Source organism: Homo sapiens, chromosome 13 (assembly GCF_000001405.40).
Source record: "Homo sapiens chromosome 13, GRCh38.p14 Primary Assembly".
Lineage (NCBI taxonomy): Eukaryota > Metazoa > Chordata > Mammalia > Primates > Hominidae > Homo > Homo sapiens.
Window position 1 is genome coordinate 108,996,602 of NC_000013.11, and position 18,526 is coordinate 109,015,127.

The following is an 18,526-nucleotide window of genomic DNA, read 5'->3' on the forward strand; positions in this document are numbered from 1 at the left end:
GAGTCCACCTTTGAGGACAATAAGGAAATGGAAAAAGCAGAAGTGGCCATAGGTTGGTACTTACTGATGATTGTTGAAGTCAGTTGGTGGCTGATGGAGGTTATTACATTATTCCCTTCATGATTGAATATGTTTAAAATAGTTCATCATGTGCCATTTTTAATCAATGAGAAAAATTTAAGATTATATAAGTGTTACTATAATAAATGATAGAATTTTTTCTCTCTAAACATGTTATTATAGAGCTCTGCAGATCTGCACCAATGAGCAAAGTCATGGAAACAAATCATTTAACCTACAAATAATTTCCCTACATTCTCCCACTAAACACATACATGCAAAGGCATGTAGTGAATCTCTTAAAGCCATGATGTCTAGTAAAATTACATGTTAACAATATGCTGGAATGACAGGTGCATTGGCTCCTGTCTGTAATCCCAGCACTTTGGGAAGCCAAGGCAGGTGGATCACTTGAGGCCAGGAGTTTGAGACCAGCCTGGCCAACATGGTGAAACCCTGTCTCCACTAAAAATACAAAAATTACCCACACATGGTGGCACATGCCTGTAGTCCCAGCCACTCAGGAGAATGAGACATGAATATCGTTTAAACCTGGGAGGTTGAGGCTGCTGCAGTGAGATGGGATTGCGCTACTGCACTCCCATCTGGGTGACAGAACAAGACCATGCAGAAAGAAAGAAAGAAAGAAAGAAAGAAAGAAAGAAAGAAAGAAAGAAAGAGAGAGAGAGAGAGAGAGAGAGAGAGAGAGAGAGAGAGAGAGAGAGAGAGGGAGGGAGGGAGAGTGGGAGGAAAGGAAAGGAAAGGAAAGGAAAGGAAAGGAAAGGAAAGGAAAGGGAAAAATGCTGGAAGAACTTAGAGAATTGAAGAATTGGAGACAGAACACATTTGTTCAAAATAAAAGCTCCCTTTGCAGAAGATAGAATTGTGATACATAGGCCGGGCCCAGTGGCTCACACCTGTAATCCCAGCACATTGGGAGGTCAAGGCGGTCGGATCACTTGAAGTCAGGAGTTCAAGACCAGCCTGGCCAACATGGTGAAACCCCATCTCTACTAAAAATACAAAAATTAGCCAGCGTGGTGGTGGGTGCCTCTATTCCCAGCTACTCGGGAGGGTGAGGCAGGAGAATCGCTTGAAACCAGAAGGCGGAGGTTGCAGTGAGCGGAGATCGCACCACCGTACTCCAGCCTGGGCAACAAGAGTGAAAGTCCATCTCAAAAAAGAAGAAAAAAGAATTGTGATACGTAATTTATCTTCAAGCCAGGCTTTATCTAAATTGATTTCATCAGACTTGTCAAGAATTCAAATCATTTCCCTGCTTACAGACTGTTTTCTAACAACTGAAATTTACTGGACACTTCAGATGACCTGGGCTTGGGCTATGTGGTCAGAGTTTGGAAAAATTGAGATACTTTGACTTCTAAAGTTTTATGAAATGATATGATATAATTTGGCAGTCTCAACCTCAAGAAATATTTTAATGCCCTTCATTGTGAAATCATGATGCTAGAGATGATAGAAAGAAAAATGGAATAGTAAATTAACTTTTCTTAATTGGACTTTTCCACATACTCTTCACATGCGTTATCACATTTCACAGATGAGAAAATTGAGACTGCTATACTCTGTGCTTTGTAAGTGCATGGTAGCAGTACCTAGTAGGATTCATTTTTCTGGCTTAGTTGCATCAGTAATCTAGGATTCATTCATTCAATAAACATATATTGTATATGCCCCAAGTTCCAGACCCTGTTCTAGGCACTAAAGTTTACATAGACATTATGGTATGGCAGGTAAGGTACAAATGTTAAAAGGGCAAATTCCTTTTTTATAAATTAGATTTTCTCTGGCCAGATAATATGTTCCCACTTCTGCACCAATTCTTCTCTTTTCCAGTCCTACATATTTTTTAGTGTTCCAGCATTTATGATTATATAATGAATTACCTGAAAACTTAATGACACACATAAACATTTATTATGCTCACCAATTCTTTGGGTCAAGTATTTGAACAGGGCATACGGAGACAGATTGTCTCTGGTCCATCATATCTGGGGCCTTAGCTAGATAACTGGAGTGTCGGAGGCCAATGCCATGTGAAGCTTCCATCAATCGCGAATCTAGAGGGTGACACTGGCTGTTGGCTGGGGGCCTCAGTTCCTCTTTGCATGAGTCTCTCCACGTTGGTCTCTCCATGTTGGTCTCTCCCTATGGCTTCTATGTACATGCTAGTTGGGGCTTTCTCGCAGTTTGTTGGATGATTTTTCTAGAGTGGCTTCCCCAAAGGAGAAACACATGCGGAAGCTGGATGCTTTTTTTGATAACCTAGCTTCAGAGGTCACATAGTATTACTTCCTCTGTAGGTTGGAGCAATCACAAGCATGCCCAGGTTCAGAGAGGTGGGTAAATTGAGTCTACCTCTTGATGGTGAAGGACCAGTTTTAATTGGACATCATGGGAAAAGGACTGGGGATGTTTAAATGGGTAATGGTTGCTATATTAGTCTAAGTATGGGACAGGATCCATGTAATTTCACTCACACTGTATCATGTGATAGCTATTAGATATCAATATTGATTTGTCTGCTGATCAATTGATACACAAATATGATAAAATATTATTTTCAGTTGTTTCACACATAGATTTCAAAATCATACATGTGTTAAATATCTACCTCTATCTTAAAGCATCTTCTACCCTGTGTATCTCCTTTTCACAATGATGTTGAACTTTCCAAAATCATTTCAGGGACTTACCAGCTGTTGATCTGATATTTTTAAAAATTTGAACAAGGAAATGCATTTATTTTCGCTACGTGTCAGAACTCTAGCATAATGCTATTCAGGTTTCTACAGAAAAACAAATAGAATCATTAAATAATGAGATGCTAGTATAATATACCTCTTACAATCATATTGGATTCTGTGTTTATAGATAGCATGATTATTGGTCTTCTTTAAATAACAGTCTTCAAAAACCTGTTTTGGGGAAATAAAATGGGGAGTGGCAACATAATTAAGAATTTTGAGCATATAAACTATACATTTAATGACTTTTCCCTCAAAATCTCTGTAAGTTAAGTAATATCACCTCTGAGCTTAAATAATTTAAGTAGCTCATAGAAGTTCACACAAAACCAAGGTCTGAATTCAGGTTTAATAACAAGCTATTTTCAGTTCCAAAGGTTCTTAGAAAGCTAAACATAAAATTTTATTAGTATATATTTTCTAAACTTCACTTGATGCCCCTTTTGTTTGTATTTCTCTTAGGACTCAATATTATTTATTCTATTATGTTTAGAAACAATAAACTCTTCGTAAATTTTATGTGCCATTGTTTTTTCCATAGTGGAATTTATCACCAAATCCGTTTAATATAAATAAGTTTCATAATGGAGGTGTATCTTTTTCATTGTAGAGTACCAGGATGATTAAAAGGAAATGTTACAAAGCTTAGTAAGGAGAATTAATGCATTTGAAACCATCTATCAGATTACTTTAGAGAAGAGTGAATTGAGTAATTTTAATGACCAGGAAAAGGCTTAAGTTAATCATTGTGGCTGTCCAGCTATAAAGCTCCAATCCCAGATACGTAAACTAGGAAAATGCTTTCATGTAGTTTTGTGCTAATAATTGATAATGGCTACAATTTCTTGAGCTCCTACTATTAGTCAGATTATTTTTCTATATAATTTTTAACTCTTACAACAGCTTTTTCAGAAAATTAAGAGTTAAAGTCCCCACAAGTTTTATGAGGCCCAGTGGGAATTCAGAGGCAGATGTGTGAGGCCGCAGGAGCTGCTCCAGCACAGGCCATGCTGTCAGTTTGTCAGAACCTCTAAACTTTGCATTTCATTCTGAATCATTACAACTATTTGAAAAAGGCTTATTATTTTGGTAGAAATTATACATTAATCATTGGTTTTGGACTATATGAATAATTTTATATGAAAAAAGAAAGCATATTGATTAGAAGTTTATTACTAAACAAGAAAACAAACTTTTTTTTGAAAAATATTGAACAATTTGATAGAGTGACTGAAGCTCTAAAATAAGAGCATTTTAACCAGAGGTTATGTTTCTAACTCTTGGGCATGGCTTCTATTTAAATTGAGGAATATATTTTATGTACAAGGTATCATACAAAATACTAAAAATAATTTTTTTAATATGTGTTTTTCAATCCTGATCTTAGCATATTATTATATAAGATTTGTCAATAAATTTAGCCAGTTAGTTTGTAGTCGATAGACTCCTTTTTGAAGACCAATTCTTCAAATCCCAAAGTAGTAATTATTTACATTAAAGGAGAATATAGTCATGAATTAAACCCATCAAAATACTAGATTTTTTTGTTCTGAGTAACAGAATAAAATAAAAGTTGTAAAAAGAGAAAGTGTTTTTCATTTGTGTAAAACAATGTCTTTATACATGTGAAGTAGCTGAAATTTATATTTACTTAAAATTTGTTATATATACTTTAATTTTAAAATATCTAAGGAAGCCAGAGAAGGAAAGATGATTGATTCCTTTAAGAAATAGTAACAGAATAAAAAATTTAAAAAAAAAAAAAGAAAAGGAAGAGAAGGGGATTGGGAAATAGAAGGGTGAAAAAAGAAATACAAACAAAAACAAATACGGCAGCCTGGGCCAGGTGGTAGCTGTGGGTGGTAGCGAATGTGTGCCCAGTCCACTTCCTGGGTGCTGACTGCGGGTCCCAATGTGGGGCTCTGGTAAGGAAAGCAACCCTTCTCTGCTGTGGCTACCAAGCACCCAAGTCCTCTATTTTTAAAATAAGATTAGCTTATCGGCAGAGGTAGTATCCTCTATCAAGGTAAGAGTCAGTCATGGTGCTAGCAAAAGAGTAAACATGACCTTTCCCAAACAAGAATGGTAGGAAAGAAAGGCCTCTACAATTATAGATTCTGAGAAGACAAAATAAACTAGACTTTTAAAACTGAAGTAAACAAGAGAGATGCTATCCCCTCACCAACCTCCTGTACCTGCCGTTTCATAGGCAATATATGGAAATCAGGGATAACTGATTTGTCGGAGAACCACTTGGAGCAGTCTGGTGAGCCCCAAGGTAATCTTCAAATAGTTGAAGTTTATAGTATGCTTGAAGTGTTCAAGTCCCAAAGAAGTCCTGCAGAGAAGCCTAACTTAACTCCATATTTCCCCAATGGGCTTCTGCTTAGGTAGGGTTTTTAGACAACAGCTATTAAAGTCTCACACAATTAGTGTTCTGCTGAACATATTTCAGCAATGCTCAGTGTCTAAAATCTAACACTATTCCTTCTCTCTCTCTCTGTGTGTCTGTCTCATGTGAACACACACACATTAATATCTTATATATACACATATATATTAACTAATGAGCAAATTAGTTGATGCATAGTGCATTCTCAGTTCTATGATCTATCTCAGTGTGTTCAACCATGTCTACCCATTAGAATCACCTGGAAAGCTTTTTAAATATTTCAATGCCTGCACCCCACTCCAATTTAATTGGTTTGGGGTCAGGCCCAGACATTAGCCTTTCTTAAAAAACTCCTCAATTAATTCCAATGTGCAGATAGGCTTGAGAGTCACTGCCCAGGGCTCTGCCTTCAGCTGGAGTCAGCTTTAATTAATCTCCTACTTTAATTCTGTGATGTGTATGCCATGCTCTATTATATTTTTGTTTCAGATATGTTTCACTGAGTAATGAAAGTAAAGGGAGAGCAGTTGGTGGAAATTTACTCAAGAAATTGTTTGTCATTAATACAAATGATGAGCCATCTGGATAAGCAATAAGTTTCCGTTCCTAAAGAGTGTGTTCCAGGGGTGCATAGTTTTTATTAGTAAACCACTTAGCAGTGGCACTTCATGTACAAAGCTGTATTTTAATTAGAGAAGAGCAAATACTATCTAAGCAGCTACTTGATAATTATTCATGAGCATTTATGAATACTCACCTTTCACCCACATTCACGTCTACTCTGAGGAATACCCGGAGATCTAATTGAACCCCAAAACAACTCTACAGTAGGTAGATTTGAAAAAGTAATGGTTGTTTTCCATTGAAGCCAATGATGCCAATGATTGATGCAGATTTATGCTTCTAGGTATACGAACTAATTTGCCTGTAAAAATCTTCACTCTATCTTTCTCTGATTGTGTTGAACACACGCCCACATATGCACATTCACATACACATACAGAGTTTAGTGAAAATAAATCAAGAATAAGGTTCTGTCCATGACTTTGGCAAAACCATTTGGTTTGTGGGGTACATTTTTTTAAAGTTTCAATGAGGTATCCGATATTGAATGATATGTTCCTATTGTTAACCTTAGCTACATGTTCTAGTGGTTTTGAATTTCATGCCACAGTACGTCTATATTTTAACTTTGGTTCAAACAATGAGTGCTTTGAACAGTTTAGAATAAAGGCAAACTTTAAGTAAAACATTTTAATGGACACATTACACCAAAATTATTTTGAAAAAAAACATTCTACTTTAAACTACATATGTTTCCAGTGACTCACTACCACTCCACATCACTCTCCACTGTTGGAAACACAAATATAGATTTAGTTCCAGAAGGCACCTTCATAATAAAAGGTACAAATTGGAAATCAGTCCACAGGCTACTTGGTTTTACACATGAAGCTGGAAATTTCTCTACGGGATTTTAATAATTTACTTTAAAATTTTTTCCCCCAGAACACAAAGAACATGATGTTCAATAAAAGGTTCAGGTGTATTGCAAAGATCACCCTATGCCACAAAAAGAACTCGCCACTGACGCTGCAGCTTAATAATGCTAGAAGTCCAGCAGAGACGCTGTAGGTTTTATCAATCATTTTGATTGACCAAGAGAGGAATAAATTGGGTTGCTCTATCCAGAGACACAGGCCACATCCATTTCTGTTATCCAAAGTTTGGTAGATTGCTTTAGACGTTTGTGGAAAAAAGGAAGAAAGCTGAGACCTGGCTTCTTCCCGTCCTTGTGTTTGCCACGGTTTCATCTACATTCATACTTGGTTTCACTGCTTTGATTAAACCAGGGGATCAATTCAGTGAAGCCAATATTCAATTCAGTAAAATATTAGTACGAAAAAAACAATTACAGTATCTGTTTTCTATTATCAGAAGCCTCAGGTCAGTCAAAACAAGACAGAGGTTGTGTTCTGTAAGGCAGTCAAGGCCAGGAGGATGCAATCAGATTGTGATCGAAAGCAGTTTTTGTACCTACAGAGCTGCAACCTATTCTGAATGCAAAATAACAAAAGAATTGTATTAGATATGTTAGAGTCATCAATGTCCAAGTATTTTCAATTAGAGAAGCTCAAAAGGAGAGGAAAAGAAAATGTCATATAATGTGGGTATGTCTTGTAAATAATCAGCCACTGAGTTTTTAAAATTTGGAATCCTGTTTATCGAACTTCTTATCATTTCGCACAGTAATAGACATTACCTTATTTCATGGATTCAACATTGTTTCTCAGCAATTTGTTCCCTAAAATGTATTCCACTTAACCACACTATCCATAAACAGTTTTAAGTCAAATTGTTGCAGTAAATGACCTATTTGTGTTAATTTTTAAATGATTCAATGTATTTTTAATAATAAAAAACTTGAGAAGTTACAGTTGTATATATCATATAGTCAAAGAAGATATTTTCCAGTGGTTTCATTCCATAAGAGAAGTCATTAGTTTCTGTACATTTTCAGTAAATATTTCACCCCAAACTTTAATAATTGTATAGCATTTATTATTCCTTTATAACAAAATTACCTTATTATTGGAGTTTAACAAATTATTAAAGGAATGCATCAAAATATTATTTCTGAAGCAAAGTGAAATAGTTTAAACAGTTTTTATTTCTTTTTAACAATTTTTATTTTTTATTTATGATTGAAATGAAAGTGACAAGTAGATGTACTGCTTGAACAGTAGGGATGCCATTGTGGACAGATGCTACATAGTTGCATGGAAAGTAGTTTTTCTTTCCAAAACCATTACTGGAGATTTATGCCCTGTAGGATAAGATAAACATAGAAACTGATCATGAAGATCTGGATTGCCTGGCATCACTTGGTTTTGATGGAATAATTCAAGAGGATAAATGTGCTAGACTGTATCAGTTACAAGAAAGAAAATATTTTTCATATGATATTTAGATACTGAATGCCACTCCTCCCTCTGCCAGCTATAATGTGCAGAATTTGTTGGTCTGTGTCCATATTCAAATCGTATTTGCCTTAACAACAACGCCTTTAAAATTAAATGTTTTATATGGTATGTTCTCATCCGAAGCAACTGTTTTAATTAAGAGATGATCACAGCAGTGTGAGTTTACCTAAGAAACACTTAAAGGTTTAAAAGGTAAAGAACTTCCAGCTTTGTGCATTTCTCTTGAAATCTAGTTGTCAGAAGACAGAGAGGAAAAGTTCTAGTTACTTACTGTGCAAATAATGTACAAGGAAGAAAATCCAGTAACCACAGAGGGAATGCTGGGGGAAGAAGACGATACCAGGAGAGTCTCCTGGTTTATACAAATCCTCTCAAGTTCTTTAGGTTTAAAATGACTTCTATGACAACCACAACATGGCAAGTTCTTCTTTAATTTTTAATTTAGATTTCATGTTGTAATAGAATGTTTTAGGGAAACTTCTTCTATCTACAGAAATTAATTTATCACTGAATTTAAGAAACCATCTTTTACCATGAAGGCAGAGAGACAAGAAAACCCATTGGGAAGGGTGGTAGTCATGGAGCACCATTTTTTGACCTGAATCTAAGAATTATTTTTGTTACTATTTGAATGTCAATATGTGATATTCAGATCTTATTTTAATATGGTTATTACTTTAATATTTTGTTTGGTATATGTCTACTATACTGTTATTCTCCACCTGTCATATTAATAATAATAAAGACCATGTGCATTCATCATTAAAATAACTCCATCAGGTTGTAAGAACCTCTGCACTTTGAGCTCTCCTACCTCTGCTTCAGTCAAGGACCCCCTTGCCTGCCACCCTCTCATGCTCTAATCACCCCGTTTCTGAAGATGTTTGAGCTAGCTACACCTACGCACAACATTCTAACCCTGGCAAGAAGACTAGAACTTTACAGCAAGTCCACCCAGTCCCACGCCACACTCCCTTCTGTGTTCACACCAATGTTCTGCTCTTTCATATGTTTGTTTCTTCTCTGAAGAAATTTCCCCCTGAGACTTCTTCATGCCCTACAATGTCATAAATTTCCATTCTCCCAAGTAACTGGATTTTTGAGAAAATGTCCTTTTCCATCTAGGTGCATGTAATTCTCAAGTCATTACTAGCCACACCCTTAAGGGTAAGTGGGAGCTCCCTTTGGGAGGATATGGAGTGACCTCGTGCTGGTCACTTGAGAAGGTAATTTGTCTTGCTCATTGGAAGCTGTCCTTATATGGGCTAGAAGGAGGACATGAATGCCCATTAGCAGGACCAGAACATCTAGAAGGAGCTCCTACTTCCCAGGTGTTGTGATGACATCAGACTTGGAGAAGATTTGGGATATGTGGAAAAGAGGAACCCAGGAAGTTCTTTCTTTTCTGGGCTCTTCTTTCCAGTCTTTCTTATTTATTTTATTTATTTATTTGAGACGGAGTCTTGCTCTGTCACCCAGGCTGGAATGCAGTGGCGTGATCTCAGCTAACTGCAACCTTCGCCTCCCAGGTTCAAGCGATTCTCCTGTCTCAGCCTCCTGAGTAGCTAGGACTATAGGCACCCACCACCACACCAGGATAATTTTTGTATTTTTAGTATAGACGGGATTTCACCATATTGGTCAGACTGGTCTCGAACTCCTGACCTCAGGTGATCCACCCACCTCAGCCTCCCAAAGTGCTGGGGTTACAGGTGTGAGCCACTGCACCTGGCTAATATTTTGTTATTTTTTAACAAAAGCTTTCGCATTTCTTTATATTAATACAGGATATTTCTCATTAAATATTATCTTAGATATTATTCCCCTTGCAGATGAGATCTAATTTTCTTTCAAATGTTTTATCAATTGTTTCCAGCTATATAAATATTGATCTGTAATTATTTTTAGTTACTGAGCAGTAAATATTTCTAACCGGCTTTAAGTTTTGTCTAGTATAACATAGTGGTTTAGGGTGCAGATGAGGGAACATAAAGGTCTGTAAAACTGAGTAAGCTCACAAAAGAAGTGGGTATAGGCAGAGAAGAGACAAGGTCCACAGGCAGAGCCCCTGGACACTCCAATATGAGCAGGCCAGGAGTCCACGAAGAGTCGGGAAAGGAGATGGGGAGGAAGCAGCCAGTGAGCTAGAAAGCCAAGAGAGTGTGGTGTCCCGGAGGAGAGGGGAGAAAGTGCTCCATGGAAGAAGAGAAACCGACTCAGTCAAATAACGCCGGGGTGGGGATGGGTCAAGAGAAACAAATGTGAGAGTTGAACATTGGATTTAGAAATGTGCACACTGCTAGCCAGGGGCGGTGGCTCATGCCTGTAATCCCAGCACTTTGGGAGGCCAAGGCGGGTGGATCACGAGGTCAGGAGATCTAGACCAACCTGTCTAACATGGTGAAACCCCATCTCTACTAAAAATACAAAAAATTAGCTGGGTGAGGTGGCGGGCGCCTGTAGTCCCAGCTACTCGGGAGGCTGAGGCAGGATAATGGTGTGAACCCGTGAGGCGGAGCTTGCAGTGAGCCGAGATGGCGCCACTGCACTCCAGCCTGGGCGACAGGGCGAGACTCCGTCTCAAAAAAAAAGAAAAAAAAAAAAGAAATGTGCACATTGCTGATGACTTCTACAAAAGCAAGTTTGATGGCGCCATGGTGTCAAAAGTTTTATTAGAGTGGTTTCAAGAGGGAATGGAAAGATAAGAATTTGAGATAATAAGTAGAAATCAGCCGTGTGTGTGTGTGTGTGTGTGTGTGTGTGTGTGTGTGTGTGTGTGTGTTGATAGGAAAGGAAGCACAGAAGTAGAAGAGTAGCCTAGAGGGGAAGTCGGATTTTGCGCTGGTTAGATTTGAGTTATGGTATAGTTTTTTAAATACTTTAAGATAAATAAAGGTTTTTCTTTAAGATTAAGAAATAACATATTTGTTTCCTGATGGGAATGTCTTGTGGAAAGAGAAAAATTGACAGTTGGAGGAATGTGGAAAATTTTCTGATAAAGAAAATAATTTCTTCAATATAATGATTTGACTGTTGATTACTATTTCTGAAAGAACCCCCACATTCATTCTTGCCCATCACTAATACGCAATCAGAAATGAGGCCCTCATGAAATGCTTCTCTTTTCTCTGGGATCTCATGGTAAACCCAGCTTTATCTTCATTTCCTGATGAGAGCTCAAATATATTTTCCTTTTGGAAATATTTTAAATGCTCAAATATATTTGAGACTCAACGTTTGTAATATTGGAATCATACTTTTCGTTGTTTTTAGCATACTTTGAATAGTTAGATGATATGGTATCAGATATACTTGATCTGTGAAATATGTGCAAGTCCATTCCTAGACTTCAGTTGAAACTCTGACTTCCCAGGCAACGTTGTCATGCTTTATTTTGGTAGACTAATTGGTTGGAAACTCCCTGAGTCAATACTTTCCCAATCTGAAACTGTGTCATTGAACAACTGAATATGCACTGCTGTACTATCTTGTGTATGCACTACTGTACTATATCTTGTGTATGCACTACTGTACTATCTTGTGTATGCACTACTGTACTATCTATCTTGTGTATGCACTACTGTACTATCTTGTGTATGCACTACTGTACTATCTATCTTGTGTATGCACTACTGTACTATCTTGTGTATGCACTACTGTACTATCTTGTGTATGCACTACTGTACTATCTATCTTGTGTATGCACTACTGTACTATCTTGTGTATGCACTACTGTACTATCTTGTGTATGCACTACTGTACTATCTATCTTGTGTATGCACTACTGTACTATCTTGTGTATGCACTACTGTACTATCTATCTTGTGTATGCACTACTGTACTGTCTATCTTGTGTATGCACTACTGTACTATCTTGTGTATGCACTACTGTACTGTCTATCTTGTGTATGCACTACTGTACTATCTATCTTGTGTATGCACTACTGTACTATCTTGTGTATGCACTACTGTACTATCTATCTTGTGTATGCACTACTGTACTATCTTGTGTATGCACTACTGTACTATCTATCTTGTGTATGCACTACTGTACTATCTGGTGAAATGTTTTCTTGTTTTCTCCACAACAGCTTTGTGTCAACATGACCAATGAGAAGATGCACCACTATATCAATGAAGTGCTTTTTCTCCACGAGCAAGTGGAATGTGTACAAGAGGGAGTTACCATGGAAACAGCATATTCTCCTGGTAACCAGAATGGAGTTTTGGACTTTTTTTTCCAGGTATTCATATAATATAATTAGATACTTAACAGGATATATGGGTTTAAATATACTGGAGACAAAGAATTTTCTTTCAGGACGCCTTATTTTTGAGATATCTTTATATGTGAGATTCTGCAATAATTTTTCAAAATGTATTGAGGTGCACAAGTTATCTTTTTATGAAAGGACATTTGAAGGATCACCAATTCATTAAAAGGACAAGAAAATATCATTTTGATATAGAAATATTCAACACTGTTTATTCAACATCACTAAAACTCTCCTTTTGGCAATTATAAGTGCCTATTGTAAAAAAACAGACTTTTTATAAAATAATACCTAAGATTAATCATACCATAAAACAAGTTCAATGGAATCTTTTTTGTTAATTTATCTTCAAAGTTTCTAAGATTTAAATTTGGAAAAACTGGCAGGAAAAACATATAAACACATATATAATGTCGGTTAAATTAAGAGTCTCACAGCATCTGCAGGTGTTTATAGTTTTAGTTTTTCTACTTTACAATGAAAAACAATTTGACTCTGTGTCTCTATCATATAAGCCAAAATCTATCACATAAACAGCAATTGCGATGTACTAATATAAGAAAACATTATATGGATTTACTCACAATATCTCCAAGATACATGGACATTGTTGAAAACAGACACAATTCAGCTATTTGGAGAATATGTCATTCTTTACTCTCTTTCCATAAAGATAGATTTCTAAATTATTTTATTTTATGAATTTTTCTGATTAACACATTCTTGTTCTTGCTTCTAACTTGTCAGCATTCTTCTTTTTCTAAAATTACAGCCCTCTTCCTCCAGAAAGCCCTCGTAGTGACATACATAACCTATAATTATTTAAGGTTTAAAAATGTCTTCAAACCGGCAGGACTGTATACTTAATTGTATACGGGACGCCTCAGGCATCTAGCACCTTCTCTCTAGCTTGCCATGTTCTCTTCCACTGCTAACCAGGGGTCATCAGAATAAAAACTTGCATGGGCCATATTTATATTTCAAGGATTACCTATTTGTCCCTGGCCCTGAGGGGAGGGGTTGATCCAGATTTTTACCAAATACTCCAAGTGTCTAGTACATTTTGTTGCACTGTGTAGTATTTGATGAAGGTGAAACTATGACAACCTTTCACATGGAGTAGAGCCATGCAATCTCTTCTAAGCCGTTACTACTAAAGGAATTGGAGGTCATTAATCCCTTTCTTATGGCTTATTTCCCTAGGTTCTATTTTTGTCTTTAGGCACTTCCACAAGTTTTCAAAGTCTAAAAGGTTAATTGCCCCATTCTTTTATTGCTTTATTTCAGACATCCAGAAAACATAACACACAAGATTTTGTTTTTAATTTGAAGACAATACAAATAATAATGCTTAAAAAATGTTGCTAGTAATCAACCACCTTATCCATGGAGAATATCATCTTGATTTTTGGAGCAGAATCAGTTAGCTCTCTGAATGTCTATCTCCTTTATACTGATTTGGGGCCCTGTCTTTGAGTTACTGCAATATCCATTGACAGCTTTACCAAACAAGTGAATATTTTCACCCCAGAGAAGAGGTCTGTCACTGCCCTTGAAACAGAAACAGACTTGCAGACAACCTTGCAATGGCTCATTTGTCCTTCTGCTGTGTGTCTTGTGTAAGTTTGTATGTGAACCTGTAACAGCATTTACAGAAGTGTGGTGACCTGATGCTCACAGATCAATAGATGAAGCAATGATGGATAATATTGTAATATCAACACTTTACTTACTCTTCAGTAAATAGCTTGCTATTAGTTGAAATAAAGAATTGTTTGATTTTGAAAACATCACAGATGGAACCAGTCCTTGGCAAGCTTCTCACATAGACCGTTTTCTTCTAGGGCTGCTCTCTATTATATATATTACATATAATATTATATATATATATATATATTTCTTCACCTCCAGCCTCTTCAGAGGACTCCTCATGGGGGCCCCCGGCCACTCTGAGCTTCTTGCAGTGTACTCTATGGAACTTCCTGTTGAGCCAGCACTCCCAGTAAGGGGCTTTCTTCTTCAAATTCCTTTATCTAAAAACACTTTTGTGTGGCAACAGCAGTCTCACCAGGCATTGCTGACCTCAGATAACTTGCTGAGGTGGGTTAGCTTGCTTTTGCAGGCATTCCTACTTCCTTCCTAGTGGCATTCTCCTCTGCATTAGGTCTTCTTCTCTTTCTTTCCTTCCCAGGGAGGTTATGTGGCTTCTCAAAGAAGGTGGCTGTCATTATTGCTGAGTATCTTCAAGAAGCACGCTCTGCTGTGTGAGCCCCACCAGGGGTGTGCGTGTCTCATGGCTGGCATTATTAGCTTTCATTCCCTTTGGCTGGCAAGGGAGTGATCTCACCATTGCAGCTCTCAGGCAATTGCAGTCTTTGGATTTTATTTTTCTTTTTGCTTTTTTTTTTTTCTTCCTTTCTTTTTTTTTTTTGTTGTTATTTGTTTGTTTGTTTGAGACAGAGTCTCGCTCTGTCACCCAGGTTGGAATGCAGTGGCGCGATCTCGGCTCACTGCAGCCTCTGCCTCCTGGGTTCAAGCGATTCTCCTGCCTCAGCCACCTGAGTAGCTGGAACTACAGGTGTGTGCCACCACACCTGGCTAATTTTTGTAGTTTTAGTAGAGACAGGGTTTCACCATGTTGGCCAGGATGGTCTGGATCTCCTGACCTCGTAATCCGCCTGCCTCACCTCCCAAAGTGCTGGGATTACAGGTGTGAGCCACCGTGCCTGGCCTGGATTTTCTTTAATAGGAGCAGGAGACTCTGAAAGGCCTAAAACAATTAAAATATTTAAGACACAAAGAAATGGCCTTTATTAGCCAAATAAATAACATTTTGAGTTGCCTGTAGTGGTATGGTTTGGTAACCTCAGGTCAAAATACAAACTGAATTCACAATAGGGGTCAATATATGTCTCTTTACTTCCTGAGAAGAATTATTATCAGAGTATCTACACATTTAAAAGCACAGTGAGAACGATTAAGATATATTAGGGATTAATGTGAAGAAGTTTCATAAATTACCTTATTGTGAAAGGTAGATTTGAAATGTCAACAAAAACTAAACTTTCCTAGGGGACATAATAGAAAGAAAAGATAAACAGCACTAGGGAAGAAGTTATTCAATAGTCGTCTAAACCAGGGGTCCCCAACCCCTGGGGCACAGACCAGTACTGGTCCACGGCCTGTGAGGAAAAAGGCTTCACAGCAGGGGGTGAGCAGCAGGTGAGGGAGCAAAGCTTCATCTGTATTGACAGCCACTCCCCGTCACTGGCATCTCACCGCCTGAGCTCCAGCTCCTGTCAAATCAGTGGCAGCATTAGGTTCTCATAGGAGCAGGAACCTATGAGAGGGATCTAGCTGCACACTCCTTATGAGAATCGAATGCCTGATTCTACATTATGGTGACTGTATCATTGTTTCATTATATATTACAATGTAATAATCACAGAAATAAAGGGCACAATAAATGTAATGCACTTGAATCATCCTGAAACCATCCCCCCCACCCCTGGTCCGTGGAAAAATTGTCTTCCACAAAACCGTTCCCTCTTGTCAAAAAGGTTGGGGCCCTCTAGTCTAAACCATGTGGTCAGAAGGTATTCCATATGTGGGGGATGGAAGATTAGAGGTTGGGAAGTGATTTAAGCAGCCTTTGCTCTCAGATGAGATTTATTTCAAATTGTTGTTATATGTGTGTGTGTATATATATATATATATATGTATATGATTTTAGTTTTATTGTTCAGTAGTTATAAACTGTCAGACTTCTAATTTAAGTTTTATAAGTCATAGCTTCAAACTTTCTTCTAGGTCTAAAAATTGGAATATCACAGTCACTTCTCCTTCCTGTTGAGTAGGATTTTGCCACCTTGTTTTTTTTTTGTTTTTGTTTTTGCTTTTTATACTTTAAGTTCTAGGGTACATGTGCACAACATGCAGGTTTGTTACATATGTATACATGTGCCGTGTTGGTTTGCTGCACCCATTAACTCATCATTTACATTAGGTATTTCTCCTAATGCTACCCCTCCCCCACCCCCCCCCACCCCACCACAGGCCCCAGTGTGTGATGTTCCCCTTCCTGTGTCCAAGTATTCTCATTGTTGAGTTCCCACCTATGAGTGAGAACATGCGGTGTTTGGTTTTCTGTCCTTGCGATAGTTTGCTCAGAGTGATGGTTTCCAGATTCATCCATGTCACTACAAAGGACATGAACTCATCCTTTTTTATGGCTGCATAGTATTCCATGGTGTATATGTGCCACATTTTCTTAATCCAGTCTATCATTGATGGACATTTGGGTTGGTTCCAAGTCTTTGTATTGTGAATAGTGCCACAATAAACATACGTGTGCATGTGTCTTTATACTAGCATGGTTTATAATCCTTTGGGTATATACCCAGTAATGGGATCGCTGGTTCAAATGGTATTTCTAGTTCTAGATCTTTGAGGGATCACCACACTGTCTTCCACAATGGTTGAACTAGTTTACACTCCCACCAACAGTGCAAAAGCATTCCTATTTCTCCACGTCCTCTCCAGCACCTGTTGTTTCCTGACTTTTTAATGATTGCCATTCTAACTGGTGTGAGATGGTATCTCATTGTGGTTTTGATTTGCATTTCTCTGATGACCAGTGGTGATGAGCATTTTTTCATGTGTCTTTTGGCTGCATAAATATCTTCTTTTGAAAAGTGTCTGTTCATATCCTTTGTCCACTTTTTGATGGGGTTGTTTGATTTTTTCTTGTAAATTTGTTTAAGTTCTTTGTAGATTCCGGATATTAGCCCTTTGTCAGATGGGTAGATTGCAAAAATTTTCTCCCATTCTCTAGGTTATCTGTTCACTCTGACGGTAGTTTCTTTTACTGTGCAGAAACTCTTTAGTTTAATTAGATCCCATTTGTCTATTTTGGCTTTTGTTGCCATTGCTTTTGGTGTTTTACTCATAAAGTCTTTGCCCATGCCTATGTCCTGAATGGTATTGCCTAAGTTTTCTTCTAGGGTTTTTATGGTTTTAGGTCTATCATTTAAGTCTTTAATCCATCTTGAATTAAATTTTGTATAAGGTGTAAGGAAGGGATCCAGTTTCAGCTTTCTACATATGGCTAGCCAGTTTTCCCAGCACCATTTATTAAATAGGGAATCCTTTCCCCATTTCTTGTTTTTGCCACATTTGTCAAAGATCAGATGGTTGTAAATGTGTGGTGTTATTTCTGAGCCTCTGTTCTGTTCCATTGGTCTATCTCTCTGTTTTGGTACCAGTACCATGCTGTTTTGGTTACTGTAGCCTTGTAGTATACTTTGAAGTCAGGTAGCATGATGCCTCCAGCTTTGTTCTTTTTGCTTAGGGTTGTCTTGGCAATGCGGGCTCTTTTTTGGTTCCATATGAACTTTAAAGTAGTTTTTTCCAATTCTGTGAAGAAAGTCATTGGTAGCTTGATGGGGATGGCATTGAATCTATAAATTACCTTGGGCAGTATGGCCATTTTCACGATATTGATTCTTCCTATCCATGAGCATTGGAATGTTCTTCCATTTGTTTGTGTCCTCTTTTATTTCATTGAGCAGTGGTTTGTAGTTCTCCTTGAAGAGATCCTTCACATCCCTTATAAGTTGGATTCCTAGGTATTTTATTCTCTTTGTAGCAATTGTGAATGGGAGTTCACTCATGATTTGGCTCTCTGTTTGTTATTGGTGTATAAGAATGCTTGTGATGTTTGCACATTGATTTTGTATCCTGAGGCTTTGCTGAAATTGCTTATCAGCTTAAGGAGATTTTTGGCTGAGATGATGGGGTTTTCAAATATACAATCATGTCATCTGCAAACAGGGACACTTTGACTTCCTCTTTTCCTAATTGAATATCCTTTATTTATTTCCCTTGCCTGATTGCCCTGGCAGAACTTCCAACAATATGTTGAATAGGAGTGATGACAGAGGGCATCCCTGTCTCGTGCCAGTTTGCAAAGGGAACGCTTCCAGTTATTGCCCATTCAGTATGATACTGGCTTTGGGTTTGTCATAAATAGCTCTCATTATTTTGAGA

General features: G+C 37.6%; 1 protein-coding gene across 7 annotated transcripts in view, besides 1 other annotated feature; it reads left to right on the forward strand.

The window, feature by feature from the left end:
• MYO16 (myosin XVI) overlaps positions 1 to 18,526 on the forward strand; it is a 712,290-nt gene that overhangs the window by 500,886 nt on the left and 192,878 nt on the right. For all 7 annotated transcript variants that reach the window (XM_011521062.2, XM_047430183.1, NM_015011.3 and 4 more), the window contains one exon: positions 12,296 to 12,448. In XM_011521062.2, the coding sequence (XP_011519364.1) occupies positions 12,296 to 12,448 (153 nt within the window). The remainder of the gene's footprint in view (positions 1 to 12,295; positions 12,449 to 18,526) is intronic.
• Positions 14,257 to 14,908: an enhancer, noted in NCBI's record as "NANOG-H3K27ac hESC enhancer chr13:109663206-109663857 (GRCh37/hg19 assembly coordinates)". NCBI's record gives its function as "activates a minimal SCP1, AML or CMV promoter by ChIP-STARR-seq in naive H9 embryonic stem cells {active_cell/tissue: H9 hESC(naive)}" and the evidence as "EXISTENCE:reporter gene assay evidence [ECO:0000049][PMID:30033119]".